Genomic DNA, 21,873 nt, shown 5'->3' with positions numbered 1-21,873 from the left:
GGATCCCTTGAGCTCAGGAGTTGGAGACCAGCTTGGCTAACATGGTGAAACCCCGTGTCTACAAAAAAAAAAAAAAAATTAGCCAGACGTGGTGGCACATGCCTGTAATCCCAGCTACTCGGGAGGCTGAGGCATGAGAATCACTTGAACCAGGGAGGTGGAGGCTGCATGAGCCGAGACCACATCACTGCACTCCAGCCTGGGTGACAGAGTAAGACCCTGTCTCAAAAAACAACAACGACAAATGTGGTATGTCCATTCAATAGAATACTACTCAGCAGCAAAAAAGAACCAACAACACAGCTCAATCTCGAAAGCATTAGGCTAAGTATTTTTCAGCAATATGCTAAAAAAGCCAGACAGAAAAGGAGTACTTATTGGATAATAACATACATATGACATTCTAGAAAGAGAAAATGTAATCTACAGTGACAGAAGCAGACCAGTTAGGGCAGGGGTGGGGAGATGGGGTAGAAAGGACGGAGATTGGGACAAGACAGAGTTTGGGTTTTTATTGTTGTTTAGAGACAGAGTCTCACTCTGTCGTCCAGGCTGGAGTGCAATGGCGTGATTTCGGCTCACTGCAACCTCTCCCTCCCGGGTTCAAGCAATTCTCCTGCCTCAGCCTCCCAAATAGCTGGGACTACAGGCATGTGCCACCACACCCGGCTAATTTTTGTATTTTTAGTAGGGACGGGGTTTCGCCAGGTTGGCCAGGCTGGTCTCAAATTCCTGAGCTCAGGTCATCCACCTGCCCACGGCCTCCCAAAGTGCTGGGATTACAGGCGTAAGCCACTGCGCCCGGCGGACAGGGTTTGTTAAAACTCATCAAGCAGCACGCCTAAGATCTGGGCATTTATCTGTATGTAAATTACATTAAATAATTTTAAAGAATGTAAAGGGAGGGACATGGGAGGGAGGAGGAAAGGCAGGCAGCAGCCGCAGGGCAGGTGTCCCAGTGACCGGTTCCCAAGCGGGAGGAGGGCGGTGGGCTCGCGGACACCAGCATGCAGTGGCTCCGTTCGGCCGCCAGGGGGGGGCGTGGGCCCTGGAAGGGCAGGCGGCGAAGGGCGGCGAAGGGCGGTGAGGGGGCGGGCCCGTACGCCGATTCCATATGGGCGCCGGCGCGGAGCGCCGCGGGGCAGCGCGGGGTCGCCATGGCTGAGCTGCAGCAGCTCCGGGTGCAGGAGGCGGTGGAGTCCATGGTGAAGAGTCTGGAAAGAGAGAACATCCGGAAGATGCAGGTAGCGGGGCTGGGGCCGAACCAGGACCCCCTTCTCAGCGGGTGGGTTCCGGGCCCTTCCCTCAGCCACCACGCGACGCCTTGCACTGCAGCCGCGTCCCCGCAGACCGGGTGTGGGCGGCCCTGGGGTCGCCGGGGCGGCCTCGGACAGGACTTCGGAAGCTTTGGCGGATCGGATGAAATCCGTGTGCCCTTGCCGTGCGCGAGGCTGTTTTCCGCCCCTTCCAGCCCGGGGCAGGAGCGTCCTCGGCGGCAGGTGGGAAGCCCCTGGTGGCAGGCGCTCGCCCCACCACCTTCCCCTCTTACGCGGCCCCTTCCGCAGGTGAGCGGCCCGAGGCCCAGCAGAGGCGCTGCCAACGTGAAAGACCAGAAAGGCGAGGACTTCCGGCCTCCCCGTTGGCCAGGTCATGCCTGCTTCTCTTGCGCCCAACCTCGCTTCACACAGCGCGGGTTTCTACACTGTTCTTCTCTGAGCCCCGCAATGCCTCTGTGTGTTTCGGTCCTGCTTCTCTCACGGAGTATGCGTTTCCCAGATAGTGCCCCTTGAGTCATTGATTAGTGGGTCGGCTGCCCTCTGGTGGAATTTGTATTGCTAGGTTGCTGACCTCTGAACCCCATGGAAGAGGCTCCTGGTTTTCAGAATTTGGCTTCGTCAGACCACCCTACCCTCACCCACTCGGGCGAACCTCTGTTCACCCAACCATCGGTGCAACAGGTGCCGATGAGCTAGCAGCAAGGACACCATGAAACACTACACTAGACATTGAGGATAATTTTCCCCAGTGGTGGTTTTAAGGTCCTGGTGTCTATTCTCAGGGAAGGTGAAAGCAGAAGGTGGAGAGAGAGGTGCAAATATCCACGTGGCCTTCTAACTCCTGTAGTGCTCCATAGTCATCTCTGTCCCCAGAGACTTTCCTACCTAACCTCTCTGCCCTTTCTCCCCAGGGTCTCATGTTCCGGTGCAGCGCCAGCTGTTGTGAGGACAGCCAGGCCTCCATGAAGCAGGTGCACCAGTGCATCGAGCGCTGCCATGTGCCTCTGGCTCAAGCCCAGGCTTTGGTCACCAGTGAGCTGGAGAAGTTCCAGGTGAGAAATATCCTAGACAGAGCACTGTAGTCCTTGATACAGACTTTTGCAGGAGATGACAAGCATTTGTTCAAAACTCTTGGCTTTAGTGTCTTGGTTCTGTTAACAGTTGTGATACTGATGGCCAACCAGTTTTCACAGGGTTTGAAATTTTGGAAAAAGTCTTGGCGGTCGAGTGCCTTAAGTTGAACATCATTTCCTATAGAAATGATGTAGGCCGAGCGCGGAGGCTCATGCCTGTAATCCCAGCACTTTAGGAGGCTGAGGCAGGTGGATCATGAGAGCAGGAGATCAAGACCATCCTGGCCAACATGGTGAAACCCCGTCTCTACTAAAATACAAAAAATTAGCCAGGCGTGGTGGCACGCACCTGTAGTCCCAGATACTAGGGAGGCTGAGGCAGGGGAATCTCTTGAACCCAGGAGGTGTAGTTGCAGTGAGCCAAGATCGCGCCACTGCACTTCAGCCTGGCAACAGAGCGAGACTCTGTCTCAAAAAAAAAGAAATGATGTAATGGGGAGTTACCAGGGGAGTTCATGACCAAGAGCCCTTATGCAGTTTGTTGGGGAGGAGGCGTTTGTTTGTTCCTTTTGACATAACCACCAAATACAGAATGTATACTGTGTAGTATAAAGTTTCCTGGCTGGACGCGTAGCTCGCGCCTGTAATCCCAACATTTTGGGAGGCCGAGGCGGGTGGATCACGAGGTCAGGAGTTTGAGACCGTCCTGGCCAACATGGTGAAACCCCATCTCTACTAAAAATACAGAAATTATCTGGGCATGGTGGCAGGTGCCTGTAATCCCAGCTACTCGGGAGGCTGAGGCAGGAGAATCGCTTGAAACTGGAAGGCGCAGGTTGCAGTGAGCCAAGATCGCATGCCATTGCGCTCCAGCCTGGACAACAAGAGCGAAACTCCGTCTCAAAAAAAAATAAATAATGTTCAGGCACGGTGGCTCACACCTGTAATCCCAGCACTTTGGGAGGCCGAGGCAGGCAGATCACGAGGTCAGGAGATCCAGACCATCCTGGCTAACACAGTGAAACCCCGTCTCTACTAAAAATACAAAAAATTGGCCAGGTGTGGTGGTGGGCGCCTGTAGTCCCAGCTACTCGGGAAGCTGAGGCAGGAGAATGGCGTGAATCCGGGAGGCAGAGCTTGCAGTGAGCCAAGATCACGTCACTGCACTCCAGCCTGGGTGACAGAGCGAGACTCCGTCTCAAAAAATAAATAAAATAAAAATAAAAAAATAAAGTTTCCTAAAACATATATTATTTTTAAAACAGCAGAATCTCTAGAAAGGTAGGATAGCCTTGAAAAGGTACAGATTCGAGGAACACCCTTCCACCATTTTGTGGACTTATACACCCACCCAGGACTGCCCCTAGTTGCTATACCCAGAGGGCAGCCCCTCTGTCACTAAGGAGCAGTCATTTATGTGAATCATTATTACTGTTGACTCACTGATTCCTGGCTCACAAGCCCCTCTGAGGTTACCAAAAGAGCTCCCTGTTTCCCTCTCTGGAGCAAAGAGTATCCACAACTTCATTTTACTCCCATCTTCTAAGTATATTTTTCTGGAACCTGGGGGAAGCAAGCCTACTTCCAAGCCAGCCTTTCATAGCCTGAGGTTCCATCCACATGGAAACTTATACATAATGTGACACATCTTTACATTCTTCCATTCAAAACGCTTCAAAGTTACTGCCATTATGAAGGAATAACTTCTTCAAGATCATGGAACCCCAAAGGGTTTCTTTGTGTTCTTTTTGACAGCTAATTTTATAGATGGGGTCTTTGAAAATGTGATTCTTGGATTGCTCTATAACTTCCCTTGCATTATCTTTTTAGTCCTCTCCAAGTGGACTTTCACTCTTCACTGGGCCAGAACCACTCCTGCCACTCACCCCCATGGGGCCGAATCCGGGGGTCATTTCTCAGTCTTCATCTTACTCTGTCTGCATCATTGACACAGTGGATCCCTCTCCTTCTTAAAGCACTTTATTCAGTTGGTCACCAGGACATCTCACTCTCCTGGTTTTCTGCCTCCTTCCTTGGCCTCCTTTGCTCTCTCTTCCCCACTCCAGCCTCTGAGCATCAGAGTGCCTGGGGCTGTCCTTGTTTCTTTTCTCCTTTCTGCCTACTTCTCTAGTCTCCTCTAGCCTCATAGCTGTAAATATAATCTCTATGCTGACAGCTCCTGCATTTATATCTGTAGGCCAGAGCTCACTGATAAACTCCACATTCACATATCCAACTAATTCCTCCACATCTCCATTTACTTTGTTTGTCTCTTTCCTCTCACTGGAATGTAAGTTCTGTAAGGGTAAGAACTTTGTTTTACTCATTGCTATATTCCCTAACATTAAAAGAGTGCCTGGCACATAGTAGATGCTCAATAAATATTTGTTGAATTGAATGTTTTCCTGTAGAAAGAACAGACTTTAAAGAATCAGTGGCTCACACCTATAATCCCAGCACTTTGGGAGGCTGACGCGGGTGGATCACCTGAGGTTGGGAGTTTGAGACCAGCCTGACCAACATGGAGAAACCCCGTCTCTACTAAAAATACAAAAAAAGTTAGCCAGGCATGGTGGCGCATGCCTGTAATCCTAGCTACTCAGGAGGCTGAGGCAGGAGAATCACTTGAACCCGGGAGGTGGAGGTTGTGGTGAGCCGAGATTGTGCCATTGCACTCCAGCTTAGGCAACAAGAGCGAAACTCCGTCTCAAAAAAAAAAAAAGAATCAAGATGTTTGTACATCTTACAATAACCTCTAGGGACCTCTCATTTCCTGGAAGAATGTTCTGCCCAATTTATTCTGTCATTCACCTGCTTTCTAGTAATAGTTTGAGCCCTCCTGGTGCCATCTTCTGTTTGAGTCAAGACAGTCTTGGAAAGCCAAACACAGTGGCTCACACCTCTAATCCCAACACTTTGGGAAGCCAAGGAGGGAGGATCACTTGAGCCCAGGAGTTCAAGACCAGCCTGGGCAACATAGGGAGATCCCATCTCTACAAAAATAATTTTTAAGAAAGTATTAGCCAAGAGTGGTGGCGTGTGCCTGTGGTCCTAGCTACTTGAGAGCAGAGGTGGAAAGATAGCGTGAGCCTGGGACGTTGAGGCTGCAGTAAGCCATAATTGTGCCACTGCAGCGCAGCGCTCCAGCCTGGGCAACAGAGTGAGACTCTGCTCAAAAAAAAAAAAAAAAAAAAAAACTTGGCCAATCACACTACCATGTCCCTTTAATTGACCAAGATAATACATATTAAACCTGTAGCACAGGGCCTAACACATAATGAGCACGCAGTAAATGGAGGCCTTACTCTCAGCTTTTTCTACGTTCTTCCTTCTTGCCACAGGACCGCCTGGCCCGGTGCACCATGCATTGCAACGACAAAGCCAAAGATTCAATAGATGCTGGGAGTAAGGAGCTTCAGGTGAAGCAGCAGCTGGACAGTTGTGTGACCAAGTGTGTGGATGACCACATGCACCTCATCCCAACTATGACCAAGAAGATGAAGGAGGCTCTCTTATCAATTGGAAAATAAAAGTATTTGCCAGTGGCCATCAGGGCTGAGGGCAAGAATATATTTTTTATAAGGAATTGGGAATTTTAGTCTTTTAAGCAAAGTTTACGAATGAAGAAATGAAGGATGGCCACAAGCGTAAGGCATATGTCACTTGCCTCTGGACACTGGTTATTTTATGTTTCAGTCCCTAAAAAATGAAATGGAAAAAAGTGGTGCTAAATCGAGTCAGAGATATTACAGGAGAGTTTTAGAGCTTATTATTTCCTGTGGCCAGTGCTTGTCCTGGCAGTAAGGCTTTCCCCTGTAACAAGCCAGAGCCCTCCAAGGTACCAGACTCTTCTTACTACACAGGTACTAACAGGCTGGCAGGTTAGAGTTGGTGGAGTCTGAGGAGAGATATTTTCTCTTTGTTGCCAACATCCTGTTTACCAAAAGTGTCACCCCACCATCTTCCATAAGCTGTGAAACAAAATCAATGAGGTCACTAACTTAGAAGGGAAAGAAAGTTTTCTGGGTCTTTGTTTTCTTGATTTGGGGTAATTTATACAAGGGCATACAAGTTGATTTTAAGATGTGGAACTGGGAGGTAGACTAGTTTGGATAAGAACTTTGAAATGTTCCTTGTGGATCCCCATTTCTGGTCATCAAGATGTGGATGTACATTTCTTAAAATTATTACATGCTGCATCTTTCAGCCTGGAGACTGTGCAGAAACATGAGAGGTGATGACACACTAATTATGGGAAGCAGAATTACTGGCTGATGGCCCCTGAGGCTGTGTGTAACAAAATGACAGGACAATCTTGCAGTAACACTTTCCCCTTGAAGAGAAGGGGGTTTTGATTGTGATATATACTAGTATCTAGGAATGAACAGTAAAAGAGGAGCAGTTGGCTACTTGATTACAACAGAGTAAATGAAGTACTGGATTTGGGAAAACCTGGTTTTATTAGAACATATGGAATGAAAGCCTACACCTAGCATTGCCTACTTAGCCCCCTGAATTAACAGAGCCCAATTGAGACAAACCCCTGGCAACAGGAAATTCAAGGGAGAAAAAGTAAGCAACTTGGGCTAGGATGAGCTGACTCCCTTAGAGCAAAGGAGAGACAGCCCCCATTACCAAATACCATTTTTGCCTGGGGCTTGTGCAGCTGGCAGTGTTCCTGCCCCAGCATGGCACCTTATTGTTTTGATAGCAACTTCGTTGAATTTTCACCAACTTATTACTTGAAATTATAATATAGCCTGTCCGTTTGCTGTTTCCAGGCTGTGATATATTTTCCTAGTGGTTTGACTTTAAAAATAAATAAGGTTTAATTTTCTCCCCACTATTGAGTCTTCTTTCCTTATATCTGGGTGGTGAATATGTAACTTTCTCAGGATGCTTCTCCTTTTAACAGGTTAAATGAGTTAAAATGTCCAGAAGAGTGGAAATTAGTTGTTATGGTTCAGATGCAGAACTGGTTCACTGTAAATGGGAAAAACTTTGAGAGGAGACTAGGACATTGTGACTTGAAGTTCATTAATGTAGAAAAGAAACTGTCTATGAGGCTAAAAAGAGAAATTCATTATCTATGTCAGGTCTCTAGCTTCAACTAAACACTAATAGCAAGTGGTAGTAAAGGTACAAAGCTATGACCCTGCTAGAAAAAATTCAGTGTCTAGGATTTTGAGTACTAAGAGAGTGCAAAATATGTGATGAGTTTAAGTCTTTACTATCATTGATATTTATATAGAGCCATTCCAGAATATCAGGAATTAACTGAATTTTTGAGAACTATCCCCTATTTAAACACAAGGTATTCTATTTTGGTTTAGTCTTCTATAATTTTGGGGTAACAACTGGGAACAAGTCCGAGACCACTTTTTACACATCTTGACATGAAAAAAGAACACCTTATATTAGAAAATGTTTGTGTGCTGCACTTCACATTTTATATACAGGGGCAATAGCACATCAGTGAGTTCTGGAGGTAGTGTTTGAAAAATTTCAGAATTCCCAGGCATGCTGGCTAACCCCTGTAATCTCAGCACTTTGGGAGCCGGAGGCAGGCAGATCTCTTGAGGCCAGGAATTTGAGAACAGCCTGGGCAACAAAGCAAGACCTCGTCTCTACAAAAAAAAATTAGCTGGGTGCAGTGGCGTGCGCCTGTAGTCTCAACAACTCAGGAGGCTGAGGTGGAAGGATTGCTTGAGGCCAGGAGTTCGAGGTTGCAGTGAGCCATGATCACACCATGCTCCCCAGCCTAGGCGACAGAGCAAGAACTCATCTCAAAAAAAATTTTTTTTGCAAGACCCCTCAGTCAGAAATAGATTCAAATTCTTGGAGACAGACCCAGTCACCTTACTCTACAATGGTTCAGAGGCTGCTAATTTACATGTTACGGGAACCCTACTTGGTCTGACAGTATGCTGTAGGGTTACCTGCCAAAAAAATATAGAGGCCCAGCCGGGAGCGGGGGCTCACGCCTGTAATCCCAGCACTTTGGGAGGCCGAGGCCAGCGGATCACGAGGTCAGGAGATCAAGACCATCCTGGCTAACACAGTGAAATACGGTGTCTACTAAAAATACAAAAAATCAGCCCGGCGTGGTGGCGGGCACCTGTTGTCCCAGCTACTCGGGAGGCTGAGGCAGGAGAATGGCGTGAACCCGGGAGGCAGAGCTTGCAGTGAGCCGAGATCGCGCCACTGCACTCCAGCCTGGGCGACAGAGCAAGACTCCGTCTCAAAAAAATATACATATATAGAGAGAGGCCCATTCCTCCAGGGATCATTATCATTTGGTATATTGGTATATATGAAGAAAATAAGCGATACGATCCACAGACATGCGGGATTGGCCGGGTTTGCCCAGGAGCTAGAGACGGGACCGTTATCTCAATATCTCAATTTTATTTTTTAAATAGAGAAGGGGTCTCGCTATGTTGCACAGGCTGGTCTCGAACTCCTGGGCTCAAGAGATCCAAAGTTCTGGGATTTACGGCGCCCGGCTTTTTTTATTTATTTATTTATTTTTATTTATTTTGGCTGTTCCATAGACAAGAGCAGGGATAACCGGCTGGGCGCGGTAGCTCACGCCTGTAATCCTAGCACTTTGGGAGGCCGAGGCGGGCGGATAACGAGGTCAGGAGATCGAGACCATCCTGGCTAACACGGCGAAACCCCGTCTCTACTAAAAAATACACAAAATTAGCCGGGCATGGTGGCGGGCGCCTGTAGTCCCAGCTATTCGGGTGGCTGAGGCAGGAGAATGGCGTGAGGCCGGGAGGCGGAGCTTGCAGTGAGCCGAGATCGCGCCACTGCACTCCAGCCTGGGCGACAGAGCTAGACTCCGTCTCAAAAAGAAAAGAAAAAGAGCAGGGATACCCACCGGTGGAATACCCGTTATCTCAATTTTGTACAAGGAAAACGGAATTCAGAAAGGTGCCTAGAGGACGCACCCCTCCGTCCTGGCCAATCGCTGAGGACATAACCGGAAGCTCAACGATGACCGAGGCGCTGAGATATCGCGAGGTGAAATGTAAAAACTGCCAACAATCCATTGGCTAACGAGGTCGATGACGCCAGACGCAAGACGCCGGGCCTACAGCGGGAGCGTGAGGAAAGCCGTGCGTTGCGTTCCAAGGCATCTGTGAGCCCGCGGAGTATACACCATGAGCAAAGCTCACCCTCCCGAGTTGAAAAAGTAAGTATGTGTGAGAGCCAAACCGAAGTGGTCAGTTATTTGCGTCCTGCGAGTCCCTTGGTTCCCTCTCCGTTAGCCGAATGTCTTGAGCCGCTTCACTTCATTTCTTCTTCCGGTCCGAGGTCGCCGGGATCCCGGCCAGGCTCCCGCGCATGAGACGTGAAGCCCGCGCAGAGCTCGCGCGTCGGTGTGGTTACAGCCGGCAGCCACGGCACCTCCTTCCGGCCGACTAGTCTCCAGGTCCCGCGGTCTGGCCCCTGGTCACCCGGCGCTGTCCCTCGTTCCTTGAAGATCTCCAGTGCTACCTTTTGTTGAACATCTCGAATAGTATCATGTTCTAGATAGACGGCTAGAGGGGGAAATTCTCTGAAGGAACTAAGGAGGGGCTGGAAGGGAAGGAAGTGTTTTTAAAACTACGTGAGGCATCAGAATCCGAAAGCCACTTTAGTCTTAGCAAATGTGTTTGTAGGTGTTTGAGCTTTTACTTAGAAACCTCATTCCTTTTTCTTGCCTTCTTTTACGTTAAGCTTGAATGTCATGTGTTATCTTGCTCTGATGTTGAAACTATATAAGAACATTCATTTTTCTTTTTTTTTAAGAACATTAATTTTTTCTAGTCAGAGAAGGCTAATTTTTTGAAGTTTTTTCTACACACCCAGTAAAGTCAAACAACTTTAAGTAGGAGAGCCTTACTTTAGGTAGGACTCAACGTAAAGCTTTGAATTCCTCAAATACTTTTTGAGTGGACTTAACAGGTTATGTGTTTCCTGACTACGTTTCTGTTTTGCTTATACTTCCTGATGCTGGAATTCTACATGTATTAGTTGGATTGCACAAAGGATGCAAAATTTTTACAGGGATCAGTTTTTTCTGGCGTAGCATGTGGTTGGCTTTGTGTATAGTTAGTTCATTTATTACCAGGCCCATGGAAGTCAGACAAAAGGTAAAGTTCCTATTTAATAATTTTGCGGCCGGGCACAGTGGCTCACGCCTGTAATCCCAGCACTTTGGGAGGCTGAGGCGGGAGGATCACCTGAGGTCAGGAGTTCGAGACCAGCCTGGCCAACATGGTGAAACCCCCGTCTCTACTAAAAATACAAAAAATTAGCCAGGCAGGTGGTGTGCGCCTGTAGTCTCAGCTATTCCGGAGGTTGAGGCAGGAGAATCGCTTGAACCCGGGAAGCGGAGGTTGCAGTGAGTCAAGATCGCGCCATTGCCCTCCAGCCTGGGTAACAAGACCGAAACTCTGTTTCAAAAAATAATAATATTTTTGCATTTAAAGGTCCATTTGTATCAAAGCCATCTTTTGTATGAAAACTACTTCTATGTATATTTTAGTTAGGTCTGTTAAGGAATTAATTATTAAAACATAAGCCCAACGCGGTGGCTCACGCCTGTAATCCCAGCACTTTGGGAGGCCGAGGCGGGCGGATCACGAGGTCAGGAGATGGAGATCATCATGGCTAAAACGGTGAAACCCCGTGTCTATAAAAATACAAAAAATTACGTGGGCTTGGTGGCGGGCGCTTGTAGTCCCAGCTACTCGGGAGGCTGAGGCAGGAGAATGGCGTGAACCCGGGAGGCGGAGCTTGCAGTGAGCCGAGATCGCGCCACTGCACTCCAGCCTGGGCAACAGAGCGAGACTCCGTCTCAAAAAAAAAAAAAAAAATAGAAGTTACTCAGAAATTATTGTGAAAATTACTCTTTTTATCTGAAAGTTATTTTTGGTGATGTAAGTATCCTCTGGATTCATCAGGGACTGGTGAAATGGTGATTTTTTTTTTTTTAACAAAAAGACCATTCTCTACTTGTAATCTAAGATTTTCTTTCTGATTCATAACATAGTTTTTGAAAATTTCAGAGAAGGAAGCTAGTTTTAATACCTTTCTCTTCCTCGTAGGTTTCATGAATTGTGAAATCCGGTCAGATCTGCCGCCAAAATGACTTAAAAATTTTTTCTTCCTCTGCTTTCTCACAGATAGCATCTTCTTTTACACCATTATGCCCTCCTTCTGGTGTAGCATAACTCAGGTGTTCTTAAATGGGGAGTAGGGAATCTGGTGCTACCGGCTTCTAGTGAGTAGACACCAGGGTGCTGCTAAACATCCTACTGCTTATTCGACTGCCCCCAACAATACAAAATTAACTGGTCCCAAATGTCAGTAGTATAGAAGTTGAGATACACTGGCTTAACTGAATTCTTCCTTCCACTTCTTAAAATTTGCTGCCACGGTAGTCTTGCCAGTGACTGCTTTAATAATTTATCACAGTATGCAAAATCGAGTCTGTACTTAACCCAGCATTCAAGCACCAAACCTTCTAGCTGCTAATACTCAGGTATTCCGTTCTCCAGTCACACTGAACTATTTGTGTTTGCTCTCACTTGCTGTGTGACTTTGAAAAATTGCTTTAGCTTTTCCAAGCCTAGTTCTCCATCTGTAAAAACGGTGGAAATGATAGACCATAATTGCAAAGTCGTTGTAAAGATTGTATAAGATCTTGTGTGTTATATTTGATACGTTTTATGTATCTTATTAAAATATAGTTTACTTCATATATGTGTGTGTGTGTGTGTGTGTGTGTGTGTGTGTGTGTGTGTGTGTTTTGAGATGGAGTTTCACTCTTATTGCCCAGGCTGGAGTGCAGTGGCGCGATCTTGGCTCACCGCAACCTGTGCCTCCCGGGTTCAAGCGATTCTCCTGCCTCAGCCTCCCGAGTAGCTGGGATTACAAGCATGCACCAACACACCCGACTAATTTTTTTTTTTTTTTTTTTTTTTTTTTTTTTTTTTTTTAGTAGAGACGGGTTTTCTCCATGTTGATCAGGCTGGTCTCGAACTCCCGACCTCAGGTGATCCGCCCGCCTTGGCCTCCCAAAGTGCTGGGATTACAAGCATGAGCCACCGCGCCCAGCCCATAAATATATTTTTACTTGTAAATGTATCTACTCCCTCCTTCAGTCATGCTCCTTGTTTTATATTTACATTTTCCCATGATAATCCTATACATTAAAATTGAATAAGTGCCCCACTTCGTGGCCCATATACTAAACATCTTTTTTTCATTTTTTTATATTTTAAAATTTGAATGAAATTTTTAAAATTGAATGAAATTTTATGTTTTCTGGCCTATATGGAAGAAATTAAAAACTGATTTGACTGCATGGCTTAATCTCGTATTCCACTAAAATGGAATTTTTTTTTAATTCATATCGTTTGAAGTTTCAAATGTGCATTTATTATTCTAAAATATACTTAAATGTTGAGGACTACCCTGAACATTTATGCTTGATGCTTTAATATTAAATAAAAGAACACTACTTATTTCAAATATAAAATACCTATTGAATTGGATATGATTTGATTACTGTTTGCTGTCTTTACAACTTAGTTTTGGAAATAACCAAACATAGGCAAGTCTTTGTTTTTCTCTTGTGACTATAAAATCCAGTCATTGAAAATTAGGTCAATGAGACCAGATGTGGTAGCTCATGCCTGTGTAATCCCAGCGGCACTTTGGGAGGCTGAGGGGGAGTATATTTTTCGAGGCCAGGAATTCAGGACCAGCCTGGGCAACATAATGAGACTCCCATCTCTTAAAAAAAAAAAAAAAAAGAAAGAAATTTAGGTCAATGAAACAACGTAGTATTGAACAATAAGAATGTAATTCACATTAGTATACTCTACTTAATGTAAATTAATATAGTCTAAATATGTTTCATTTTTATTGCCTTTCCTCTTCCCAAATTACTTTGCTTCCTAGAATGTCTAATTTAGGTAACCCTTTACGCCCCCACTCTTTTTTTCCCCTGAGACAGTTTCGCTCTATTGCCCAAGCTGGAGTGCAGTGGCGCAATCATGGCTCACTGCAGCCTCAACGTGGCAGGCTCCAGTGATTCTCCGACCTCAGCCTCCCAAGTAGCTGGAACCATAGGCATGTGCCACCACCCCCAGCTAATTTTTGTATTTTTGGTAGAGATGGGGTTTCACCATGTTGCCCAGGCTGGTCTCAACTCCTGAGCTCAAGCAGTCCACCCGCCTCAGCCCCCTAAAGTGCTGGGATTACAGGCGTGAGCTACCTCGCCCTACTCCCTCACTCTTTACAGCAATACATTATTTTTACTATTTTAGATTTCATTATTCCCATTGTATAAATTTTAGCAAATTATCTTAACTATACCTATTTACTTGTTTATGCTTAAATTTTTTTAATTGGTTATATAATCTTTACCCTTTTCCTTTTTCAGATTTATGGACAAGAAGTTATCATGTAAGTTTGTTGTTGTTTTGGGGTTTTTTTTAATTATTTAATTGCTTTTTACATGTGTCTTAGCAATGTTTGGAGCAACTTTATAAAAATTTAAAGCAGCCAGGCGCGATGGCTCACGGCTGTAATCCCAGCACTTTGGGAGGCCGAGGCAGGCGGATCGTGAGATCAGGAGATCAAGACCATCCTGGCTAACACGGTGAAACCCCGTCTCTACTAAAAATACAAAAAAAAATTAGCCGGGTGCAGTGGCGGGCGCCTGTAGTCCCAGTTACTCGGGAGGCTGAGTCAGGAGAATGGCATGAACCCAGGAGGCGGAGTTTGCAGTGAGCCAAGATGGCGGTACTGCACTCCAGCCTGGGCTATAGAGCTAGACTCCGTCTCAAAAAAAAAAAATTTAAAGCACACAGGACCTCTAATTCACATCCGTTAGTTAAGCAGATTACTTAATCCTAACTAGACAATTTTATTTACCTAATTTCTGATAATTAATTTAACAGCACTTCAGACTTTATCTTATGTAAGCCCTTCCTCACTTTGGCAAAATTAACAGGATTTATCAACCTTTTTTCTTTAAACAAGCTACAAAGGACTTAGACAAGGAACAGTTATCTTGTTTCTTGGGAATATGTAGGAATAACATTTGTTCAATTTATCTAAAAATCTGACCCACACAGTACTTGAAATATATGTAGGGGAAAAAACCATGAGCGTTAGAGGTAAGCAGCCTTCAGCTTGAATCTCACTTCTGTCGTACAGTAGCTGTATAACCATGAACCCAGTTACTTAAAAGCTCGGGCACGGTGGTTTACACCTATAATCCCCCAGCACTTTGGGAGGCCAAAGCGGGAGGATCCCTTGAGCCCAGGAGTTCGAGACCAGCCTGGGCAACATAGGGAGCCCCCATCTTTATAAAAATTTTAAAAAAGCTCTGAAGTTTAGTTCTGTCCTATAAAGTAAGGATAATACTACTTTTTAGGATTCTTATAAATTAAAATGTGGAAGTAAATACAAAAATGTTTAACCCAGTTCTTGTCATACAGTAAGGATAGTGGGTTTCAGACATCTCAAATACTTGTGTTTTATCCCACCTGATTTTTAGTGAATGCTTGGTAGCTAATGGAATGTTTTTCTAAAACTTCTTTTTCTCTTTTTAATAGTGAAATTAAATGGTGGCAGACATGTCCAAGGAATATTGCGGGGATTTGATCCCTTTATGAACCTTGTGATAGATGAATGTGTGGAGATGGCGACTAGTGGACAACAGAACAATATTGGAATGGTGGTAAGTAAAGATACAAGAGTTCTCTTGGAGATTTCATTTTTCTTTTGGAATGTGTATTAACTTTCCTGGTTAGTAACCCCCAGAAATGGCAAATAACAGGCAAGATTAGACTTTCCATCTCCTTTTTAGTTGCATACGGCAGTTACTCAGCTGTAGTAATATCCTGGTTACCTGTAGGTAAGATCTCAACTATACAGAACCTAAGGTCCTAGCGCTTGAAATAGCTGTTGGAAATCCTTTTTGAGCTTTATTCTGCAATAGAGGCTCATAGTTGGTCCTTCATTAGAGCAGTAGTTCTGAAACCTTAATGTGTATATGAATCCCCAGGGAATCTTCTTAAAATGAAGATTCTACTTCAGTAGGTATGGGGCAGAACTTAACTAAGGTTTTGCATTTCTACTAATGCCTAATGCAGATCTGCCAGTTCACAGGTAACACTTTCTGATTTTACTTGTATACATAGTTAACCTGGATTTTCTGGTTTACCACACCCAAAATTTTAAGGTAGCCAAGGTAAAAGTTACAAGGGATAATCACAATGACAGTTATTCACATGAGAGAAAAAGCAGGAAAAAATAAGCACATACTGAGCCCTCATAGGATTAAACATTCCTACATTCATTGGGCCGTAGTTTTAGTGATTGCTGAAGAAGAGTTTTGATACCCAGACTTTGAGTCCCTCTTTGTCTAACACAGGACAACATACCTAATAAAGCGGTAAGCCCAAAGTTCTTGAAAAAGGTGAACCAAAAAGGACAACTTACTTTTAGCAAATTATTAAGCATAAAGACCTCCAAGGAGTGGTAAGAGTTGCTAATTATTAGCCTTGATTTATTAACCTTGATTTTTAAGTTTGAGCAGTAAAGTTGAAGATAGACCTATTTTGACATCTCTGCCTGTTTAATTTTTTTACATACCATTCTTTCCAAGGTTTGTGTTATTACTTATTTCAGATACTTTTTCATTACTGTATTTTGAAAAGCAAATCAATAGTTATGACTGAAAAAACAGTTTAGAGTCTCCAGATACCACACTGTACCCCCAAGTTTCATGTAAATTGACTTGTCTTTCAGGTATATTCCCTTGTGAGCTTCTGTTGAATAAGGCTGCCAGCATGATTAGTAGCCAAGTCCTTTTAAAAACATTTTCTAGATACCCCAAGATTTTCCTCTCAGCCCTTATTTTTACAAATAAATTTTCATTCTAATAGAAGGTAGATTAGGTTTTTAGTTCCTTGCAAAAAATTTGCTGAAAAGGATTCAGGAAGAACTTGGCACCTAATTGTCAATTCTGCTTTGAGAAGATTAGAGAATTATGTAACACACTGCTCATTGGAATTTTATCAGAGAAGGAATAGAGCATCCCTCTGGCAATTTTCCCCCTAAACTTTATGGACTTTATTTTCTTTGCACAGAAATTGGTTGAAAGCACTGCCATCCCAAGTCATTTAAGTAATGATTACCTACTTAGTGTGTTGGGCAGCCTCCTGTTCCATCTCTGAGGTTTATGTGACACACACGCCCCCCAACCCCCAGCCAAAGAAAAAAAAAAGTTTTTATCAGCAGACAGTAATTCTTGCTGCTGAGTCTTCACTTTGAAAAAGAAATAATAACACATCAGACTTCTTTAATAAAAGACATTTTAAAAGGCAAGAACAGAGATGAACTTTTTGACTTTTCTAAAGTTGGAAGAAGGGAAACAAATAGGTTAAGGTTTTGTTATTTTGTTAGAAGTTGTTTAACAAAGGACAGTTGGCTTCATTATTACCTTGTCCAAGTCAGTGATCCATTGAGGCCATTGAAATTACTTAATACTGTTTTATTGCAGTTATGTGTGTGTTGGCTGGGCACAGTAGCTCACATCTATAATCCCAGCACTTCGAGAGGCTGAAGCAGGAGGATCACTTGAGCCCAGGAGTTTGAGATCAGCCTGGGCAACATAGTGAGACCTCATCTCTACAAAAAAATTAGAAAATTAGCCGGGCATGGTGGTGTGCACCTGTAGTCCCAGCTACTCAGGAGGCTGAGGCAGGAAGTCAAAGCTGCAGTGAGCTGAGATCACACTACTGCACTCCAATCTTTGTGACAAAGCGAGATCCTGTCTCAAAAAGGATGTGTTTGTTTTCAGGAGTGAGTTTGTTTTTAACCTGTCAGTTGGATCGTTACCTAATGATAAATCTCAACTATCTTCTGAGACATCCCCAGAGTTGTCAGTGGCATCGCCTCTATCTTACTTTTTATTATGTTACATAGTTCAGGCACTCTTGCTAGGGTTGTCCTTCTGTAGCATCATTGAAGCACAAAAAAGGGAGCAGTATGTAATTCTGGACCTGATGGTTCAAGTTTGATTTGGAGAATTAGGCCTCAAACACAGTGGCAAAAGAGGAAGAGCACTACAATAGGCCTCCTTTATCCTCAGAGTAGGTACCAGAAACCACAGATAGTAGTGAACCCTATGCACAAATTTCTGTGTGTGTGTGTGTGCACGCGCGTGTGTATGACAGAGTCTCACTGTGTCACCGAGGCTGGAGTGCAATGGTGTGGTCTCGGGTCACTGCAACCTCCGCCTCCTGGGTTCAAGCAGTTCTCCTGCCTCAGCTTCCCGAGTAGCTGGGACTACAGGCGCACACCACCACGCCAAGCTAATTTTTGTATTTTTAGTAGAGACAGGGTTTCACTATGTTGGCCAGGCTGGTCTCAAACTCCTGACCGCATGAGCCACCTGCCTTAGCCTCCCAAAGTGCTGGGATTACAGGCGTGAGCCACCGCGCCTGGCCAGCACGAACTTCTTTTTACTTCTTCACAATCTCACAGATAGAAGATTCGTCCTTACCATAAATCTTGGCAGTCTCAACATATGATTCTTTTTCTTATTAAGTCAAGAACTTGTACCTTTTCACTTAAAGGAAGCACTTTACAGCTTCTCTTTGGCATATCCATATTGCCAGCATCACTGCTCTTATACTTTCAGGCTAGTATTAAGTTAAAAAAAGGGTTACTTGAACACAAGTAACCCTTTGATACCACAACAGTCAATCATAAAACTGAGATAACTGATTAATGGGCAGCATGGAGATGCTAGACAAAGGATAATCCACATCCAGGGACAGTATGAGGTATCATCACACTGCTAAGAACAGCATGCAGTGTAAAACTTACGGATGTCTGTTGCTGGGACTATGCATTTAATGTTTTTGGACCACAGATAAGGTGGGACAAAGTTCACCATTTAGCCTTATTTTCTAAATATTATGTGACAAGACAAATATGTAAATTTAGCAGGGAGCTAGGCAGGAAGGCTAGCTTTTCTTGCTTTGGTCAATGAGATGTGATGTTCAATATCTGTTGCCAAAAAAAAAATTGAGAATTTAAAATTCTGATAACTGGCCAGGTACAGTGGCTCACACCTGTAATCCCAGCACTTTGGGAGGCCAAGGCAGGAGGATCACTTGAGACTAGGAGTTTGAGATAAGCCTGGGCAACATGGTGAGACCCTGTCTCTACAGAAAATTTTAAAATTAGCCCAGCTTGGTGGCTCATGCCTCTGGTCCCAGCTACTTGAGAGGCTGAAGTGGGAGGATCACTTGAGCCCAGGAGGTCAAGGCTGCAGTTAGCTGTGATTGAACCACTGCATTCCAGCTTGGGTGACAGAGCAAGACCCTGTTTCAAAAAAAATAATAATTAAAATGAAAATAAAATTCTGATAACTAGGTAAGCATGTTTCTACTCCTGGCTTATGCTGGGCATGGTGATGTGCGCCTATAGTCCCAGCTACTCAGGAGGCAGAGGCAGGAGAACCACTTGAGCCTAGGAGTTCGAGGATGCAGTGTGCAGTGATTGTGCATGTGAATAGCCACTGCACTGCAGCCTGGTCAGCATAGCTAGTCCCAGTCTCAAAAAAATGGAGGGGAGCTCTGTTAACTTAGAAGAAGAGTGTCAATCTTTAGACTCTTTCAGTTCCCATTGTCATTTTCAGGGCACTGTGTTTACTGGTTTTTGTTGTTGGTTTGAGATAAGGTCTCACTCTGTCACCGAGGCCGGAGTGCAGTAGCATGGAGCTTGGTTCACTGTGGTCTCAACCTCCCTGGGCTCAGTTGATCCTTCCACCTCAGCCTCCCGAGTAGCTGGAACCACAGGTGTGCACCACCACCCTCAGCTAATTTTTGTATTTTTGTAGAGACAGGGTTTTACCATGTTGCCCAGGCTGGTCTCAAACTCCTGGGCTCAAGCTATCTGCCCACCTGGGCCTCTCAAAATGCTGAGATTATAGGCGTGAGCCACCATGCCCAGCCATTCTTTTTTAAATCTGCTCTTTACTACCTTATCATACTCATTGCTGATAATTGGCTGCCAGGTTCCAAGACACTTATCCTACCAATTGTGTTCCCTTCTATTCTGTCAGCTGCAGTAATCACATGTGAGTTCTTTTATTCATATTTACCAGGTTATTGAGCCCTCTGTGTGCCTGCTACTATTTTAGGCACTGGGGTTTTGCACCTAAGTCCCTGCCCTCATAAAATTTACATTTGTATGGAGAACACAATAAATCATAGCGTATGTGTAAATAAAACAAGCATGATACTGTGAGAAAAGAATAAGTTACAACTACTTTTACTCTAGCTGCCTATAAGCATAGCTCCACTTTGAATCTTTTTGGAATGCCTCCATTTCTAATAAACACCTCAAATTATTACATTACCTTTCTCTCCCCTACATTACCTATTCTTTCCCTCCCGTACCCCTCCATTCACCTATCCAATTCTACTTGACTGATGGGTGATCTATCGATTATGATGATCTCCAGTCTATTAGGGACTTACTGTTTTTAGTCCCCTAGCCTTCCAGTTTCGCTTATTTTTCTACCCCTCTTGAATTCATTTACCAGCTGATTCATCTATACTCTGATAAGTTTGTCTGTTGGTTTGTTTTGGTTTTGGTTTGTTGTTTTTTTTTTTTTTTTTTTTTTTTTTTTGACAAAAGACAGTTTCGCTCGTTGCCCAGGCTGGAGTGCAGTGGCGCTATCTTGGCTTACCGCAACCTCCGCCTCCCGGGTTCAAGTGATTTCTCCTGCCTCAGCCTCCTGAGTAGCTGGGATTACAGGCATGTGCCACCACACCCGGCTAATTTTTTATTTTTAGTAGAGATGGGGGTTTCTCCATGTTGGCCAGGATGGTCTCGAACTCCCAACCTCAGGTGATCCACCCGCCTTGGCCTCCCAAAGTGCTGGGATTATAGGCGTGAGCCACCACACCCCCGATAAATATTCTTATCTTCATTTATGGCTTATCTACTAGGTCAAGCACTGTTCTCCTAGGGCCTTTTTTTTATAACTTCTCTTTCTGCCTCTAGGTTCTGTCCTATTCAAACTTCGGCGTATTTATATAATATCTTGTTGCAGGGACACTTATGGTTGTCATTCCCCCAAGTGAAACTCTCACTGGCTCATTGTTAGTTTCTGATGTCCTCCAAACACTAAGATTGGCATTTGAAGCTTTCCAAGATTGAATGCCAACTATCTTTGTTTCCTGATTCTCTTCGTGAACTTTTTACTGCATTCAAATTAGATTACTTCCTTATCCTCTCATACTTTGTCTTCATCTTAGTTCTGTCTAGAATTTCCTACAATCTCCTTTTCAAAATTCTGCCCAATTTCCAAGACCCAGGTAAAATGTCATTTTCATAAAGCATGCCTTTCACAATTTCCCATCCTGGTTTCTTCCCTAAATGATCTCATACCTCCAAACTGTACCTAACATACTCTACTGTACATATTTTACTCATTAATTTTTGGATCCCATAGAGTCAGGGATGGGCATTTAAATTTGAGTCCTGCATTTTAGAAGGTGAAATTAGGGCCAGGCGTAGTAGCTCACGCCTGTAATCCCAGCACTTTGTGAGGCTGAGGCAAGCAGATTACTTGAGGTCAGGAGTTTGACACCAGCCTGGCCAACATGGTGAAACCCCGTCTCTACCAAAAATATAAAAATTAGCTGGGCGTGGTCAGGGCTCCTGTAATCCTAGCTACTTGGGAGGCTGAAGCAGGATTGCTTGAACCTGGGTGGCAGAGGCTGCAGTGAGCCGAGATTGCGCCACTACACTCTAGCCTGGGCAACAGAGTGAGACTGTCTCAAAAAAAAAGGTGAAATTAGTCATTGGAGACTTGGCATTAGAATCTCATAAAGCAAATTGTTAGCCTTAAATCCAAAAGATGTCTGTCGTATAAAGGGCTTAGAGTTGTTTGGTGTCCCTGTGGCTTGAACAAAGCTTTGCAAACCGACATGTAATATTAAAAAACCATTAATGATTTGGTGAAAATTCTTAAATCATCATAGTTATGTCTGTTACCTGAGTTGTTCTTTTCAAATTTATTTTTCTCTTTCTTAGGTAATACGAGGAAATAGTATCATCATGTTAGAAGCCTTGGAACGAGTATAAATAATGGCTGTTCAGCAGAGAAACCCATGTCCTCTCTCCATAGGGCCTGTTTTACTATGATGTAAAAATTAGGTCATGTACATTTTCATATTAGACTTTTTGTTAAATAAACTTTTGTAATAGTCAAAAATGCTTTCTCAGATGTTCTGAATATAGAATATCAGCTCTCATTCCAGTTTTTTCTAACATGAATTTTCCTGGTTGACATTGATTTCAAAGGGTTTTATGCATTAAAGTGAAAGAATCTTATTAAATGTGAAACATGGCAAGGATTCCTTCTGTCCATCATCTTTCAACACTGAACAGATAAAGAAGTTACAAACATGAGTGAGTTTCTT

At 44.2% G+C, this 21,873-nt stretch overlaps 2 protein-coding genes and 1 long non-coding RNA gene across 15 annotated transcripts, besides 5 other annotated features; 2 read left to right on the top strand and 1 right to left on the bottom strand.

The window, feature by feature from the left end:
- Positions 868-1,816: an enhancer, noted in NCBI's record as "NANOG-H3K27ac-H3K4me1 hESC enhancer chr2:70528485-70529433 (GRCh37/hg19 assembly coordinates)". NCBI's record gives its function as "activates a minimal SCP1, AML or CMV promoter by ChIP-STARR-seq in primed H9 embryonic stem cells {active_cell/tissue: H9 hESC(primed)}" and the evidence as "EXISTENCE:reporter gene assay evidence [ECO:0000049][PMID:30033119]".
- Positions 913-1,182: a silencer, noted in NCBI's record as "silent region_11611". NCBI's record gives its function as "represses an Ori minimal core promoter by ATAC-STARR-seq in GM12878 lymphoblastoid cells {active_cell/tissue: GM12878}" and the evidence as "EXISTENCE:reporter gene assay evidence [ECO:0000049][PMID:35858748]".
- Positions 1,102-7,193, top strand: FAM136A (family with sequence similarity 136 member A). 6 transcript variants are annotated; one of them, NM_001329758.2, is made up of 4 exons: positions 1,102-1,244; positions 1,566-1,647; positions 2,189-2,329; positions 5,692-7,193. In NM_001329758.2, exons 3-4 carry the CDS (start codon positions 2,195-2,197, stop codon positions 5,878-5,880), a joined length of 324 nt encoding a protein of 107 aa, NP_001316687.1. In that variant the 5' UTR covers positions 1,102-1,244; positions 1,566-1,647; positions 2,189-2,194; the 3' UTR covers positions 5,881-7,193. The 6 variants fall into 6 exon arrangements, with proteins under 6 accessions (NP_001316687.1, NP_001316686.1, NP_116211.2 ...); NM_001329757.2 differs by having other exon boundaries at positions 1,566-1,761; NM_032822.3 differs by lacking the exon at positions 1,566-1,647.
- Positions 1,817-2,766: an enhancer, noted in NCBI's record as "NANOG-H3K27ac-H3K4me1 hESC enhancer chr2:70527535-70528484 (GRCh37/hg19 assembly coordinates)". NCBI's record gives its function as "activates a minimal SCP1, AML or CMV promoter by ChIP-STARR-seq in naive H9 embryonic stem cells {active_cell/tissue: H9 hESC(naive)}" and the evidence as "EXISTENCE:reporter gene assay evidence [ECO:0000049][PMID:30033119]".
- On the bottom strand, positions 7,155-9,267 carry LOC124906023 (uncharacterized). Its single transcript, XR_007086880.1, has 2 exons — positions 9,237-9,267; positions 7,155-8,111 (listed from the first exon to the last, which is right to left on the bottom strand). It is a non-coding gene; the product is annotated as an uncharacterized LOC124906023 (long non-coding RNA).
- Positions 9,268-9,747: an enhancer, noted in NCBI's record as "active region_16007". NCBI's record gives its function as "activates an Ori minimal core promoter by ATAC-STARR-seq in GM12878 lymphoblastoid cells {active_cell/tissue: GM12878}" and the evidence as "EXISTENCE:reporter gene assay evidence [ECO:0000049][PMID:35858748]".
- SNRPG (small nuclear ribonucleoprotein polypeptide G) lies at positions 9,429-21,807 on the top strand. 8 transcript variants are annotated; one of them, NM_001317165.2, is made up of 5 exons: positions 9,429-9,551; positions 13,797-13,819; positions 14,977-15,101; positions 15,798-15,904; positions 21,485-21,807. In NM_001317165.2, exons 1-5 carry the CDS (start codon positions 9,520-9,522, stop codon positions 21,486-21,488), a joined length of 291 nt encoding a protein of 96 aa, NP_001304094.1. In that variant the 5' UTR covers positions 9,429-9,519; the 3' UTR covers positions 21,489-21,807. The 8 variants fall into 8 exon arrangements, with proteins under 8 accessions (NP_001304094.1, NP_001304095.1, NP_003087.1 ...); NM_001317169.2 differs by lacking the exons at positions 9,429-9,551; positions 15,798-15,904 and adding exons at positions 9,722-9,878; positions 11,860-11,888; NM_001317166.2 differs by lacking the exon at positions 15,798-15,904 and having other exon boundaries at positions 14,977-15,098.
- Positions 9,764-10,671: an enhancer, noted in NCBI's record as "NANOG-H3K27ac-H3K4me1 hESC enhancer chr2:70519630-70520537 (GRCh37/hg19 assembly coordinates)". NCBI's record gives its function as "activates a minimal SCP1, AML or CMV promoter by ChIP-STARR-seq in naive H9 embryonic stem cells {active_cell/tissue: H9 hESC(naive)}" and the evidence as "EXISTENCE:reporter gene assay evidence [ECO:0000049][PMID:30033119]".
- Positions 21,808-21,873: the final 66 nt, after the last annotated feature.

Source organism: Homo sapiens, chromosome 2, assembly GCF_000001405.40.
Source record: "Homo sapiens chromosome 2, GRCh38.p14 Primary Assembly".
NCBI lineage: Eukaryota > Metazoa > Chordata > Mammalia > Primates > Hominidae > Homo > Homo sapiens.
This window is presented reverse-complemented; position numbering and strand designations above follow the sequence as displayed.

Bases quoted from the DNA above. Each gene is read 5' to 3' on its own strand.
- FAM136A (NM_001329752.2), top strand. From the start codon at position 1,158: ATGGCTGAGCTGCAGCAGCTCCGGGTGCAGGAGGCGGTGGAGTCCATG. The intron at 1,566-2,188 runs GTGAGCGGCCCG...CTTTCTCCCCAG, and splicing joins TTACGCGGCCCCTTCCGCAG to GGTCTCATGTTCCGGTGCAG. The intron at 2,330-5,691 runs GTGAGAAATATC...TTCTTGCCACAG, and splicing joins GTGAGCTGGAGAAGTTCCAG to GACCGCCTGGCCCGGTGCAC.
- SNRPG (NM_001317165.2), top strand. From the start codon at position 9,520: ATGAGCAAAGCTCACCCTCCCGAGTTGAAAAA. The intron at 9,552-13,796 runs GTAAGTATGTGT...TTCCTTTTTCAG, and splicing joins CACCCTCCCGAGTTGAAAAA to ATTTATGGACAAGAAGTTAT. The intron at 13,820-14,976 runs GTAAGTTTGTTG...TCTTTTTAATAG, and splicing joins TATGGACAAGAAGTTATCAT to TGAAATTAAATGGTGGCAGA.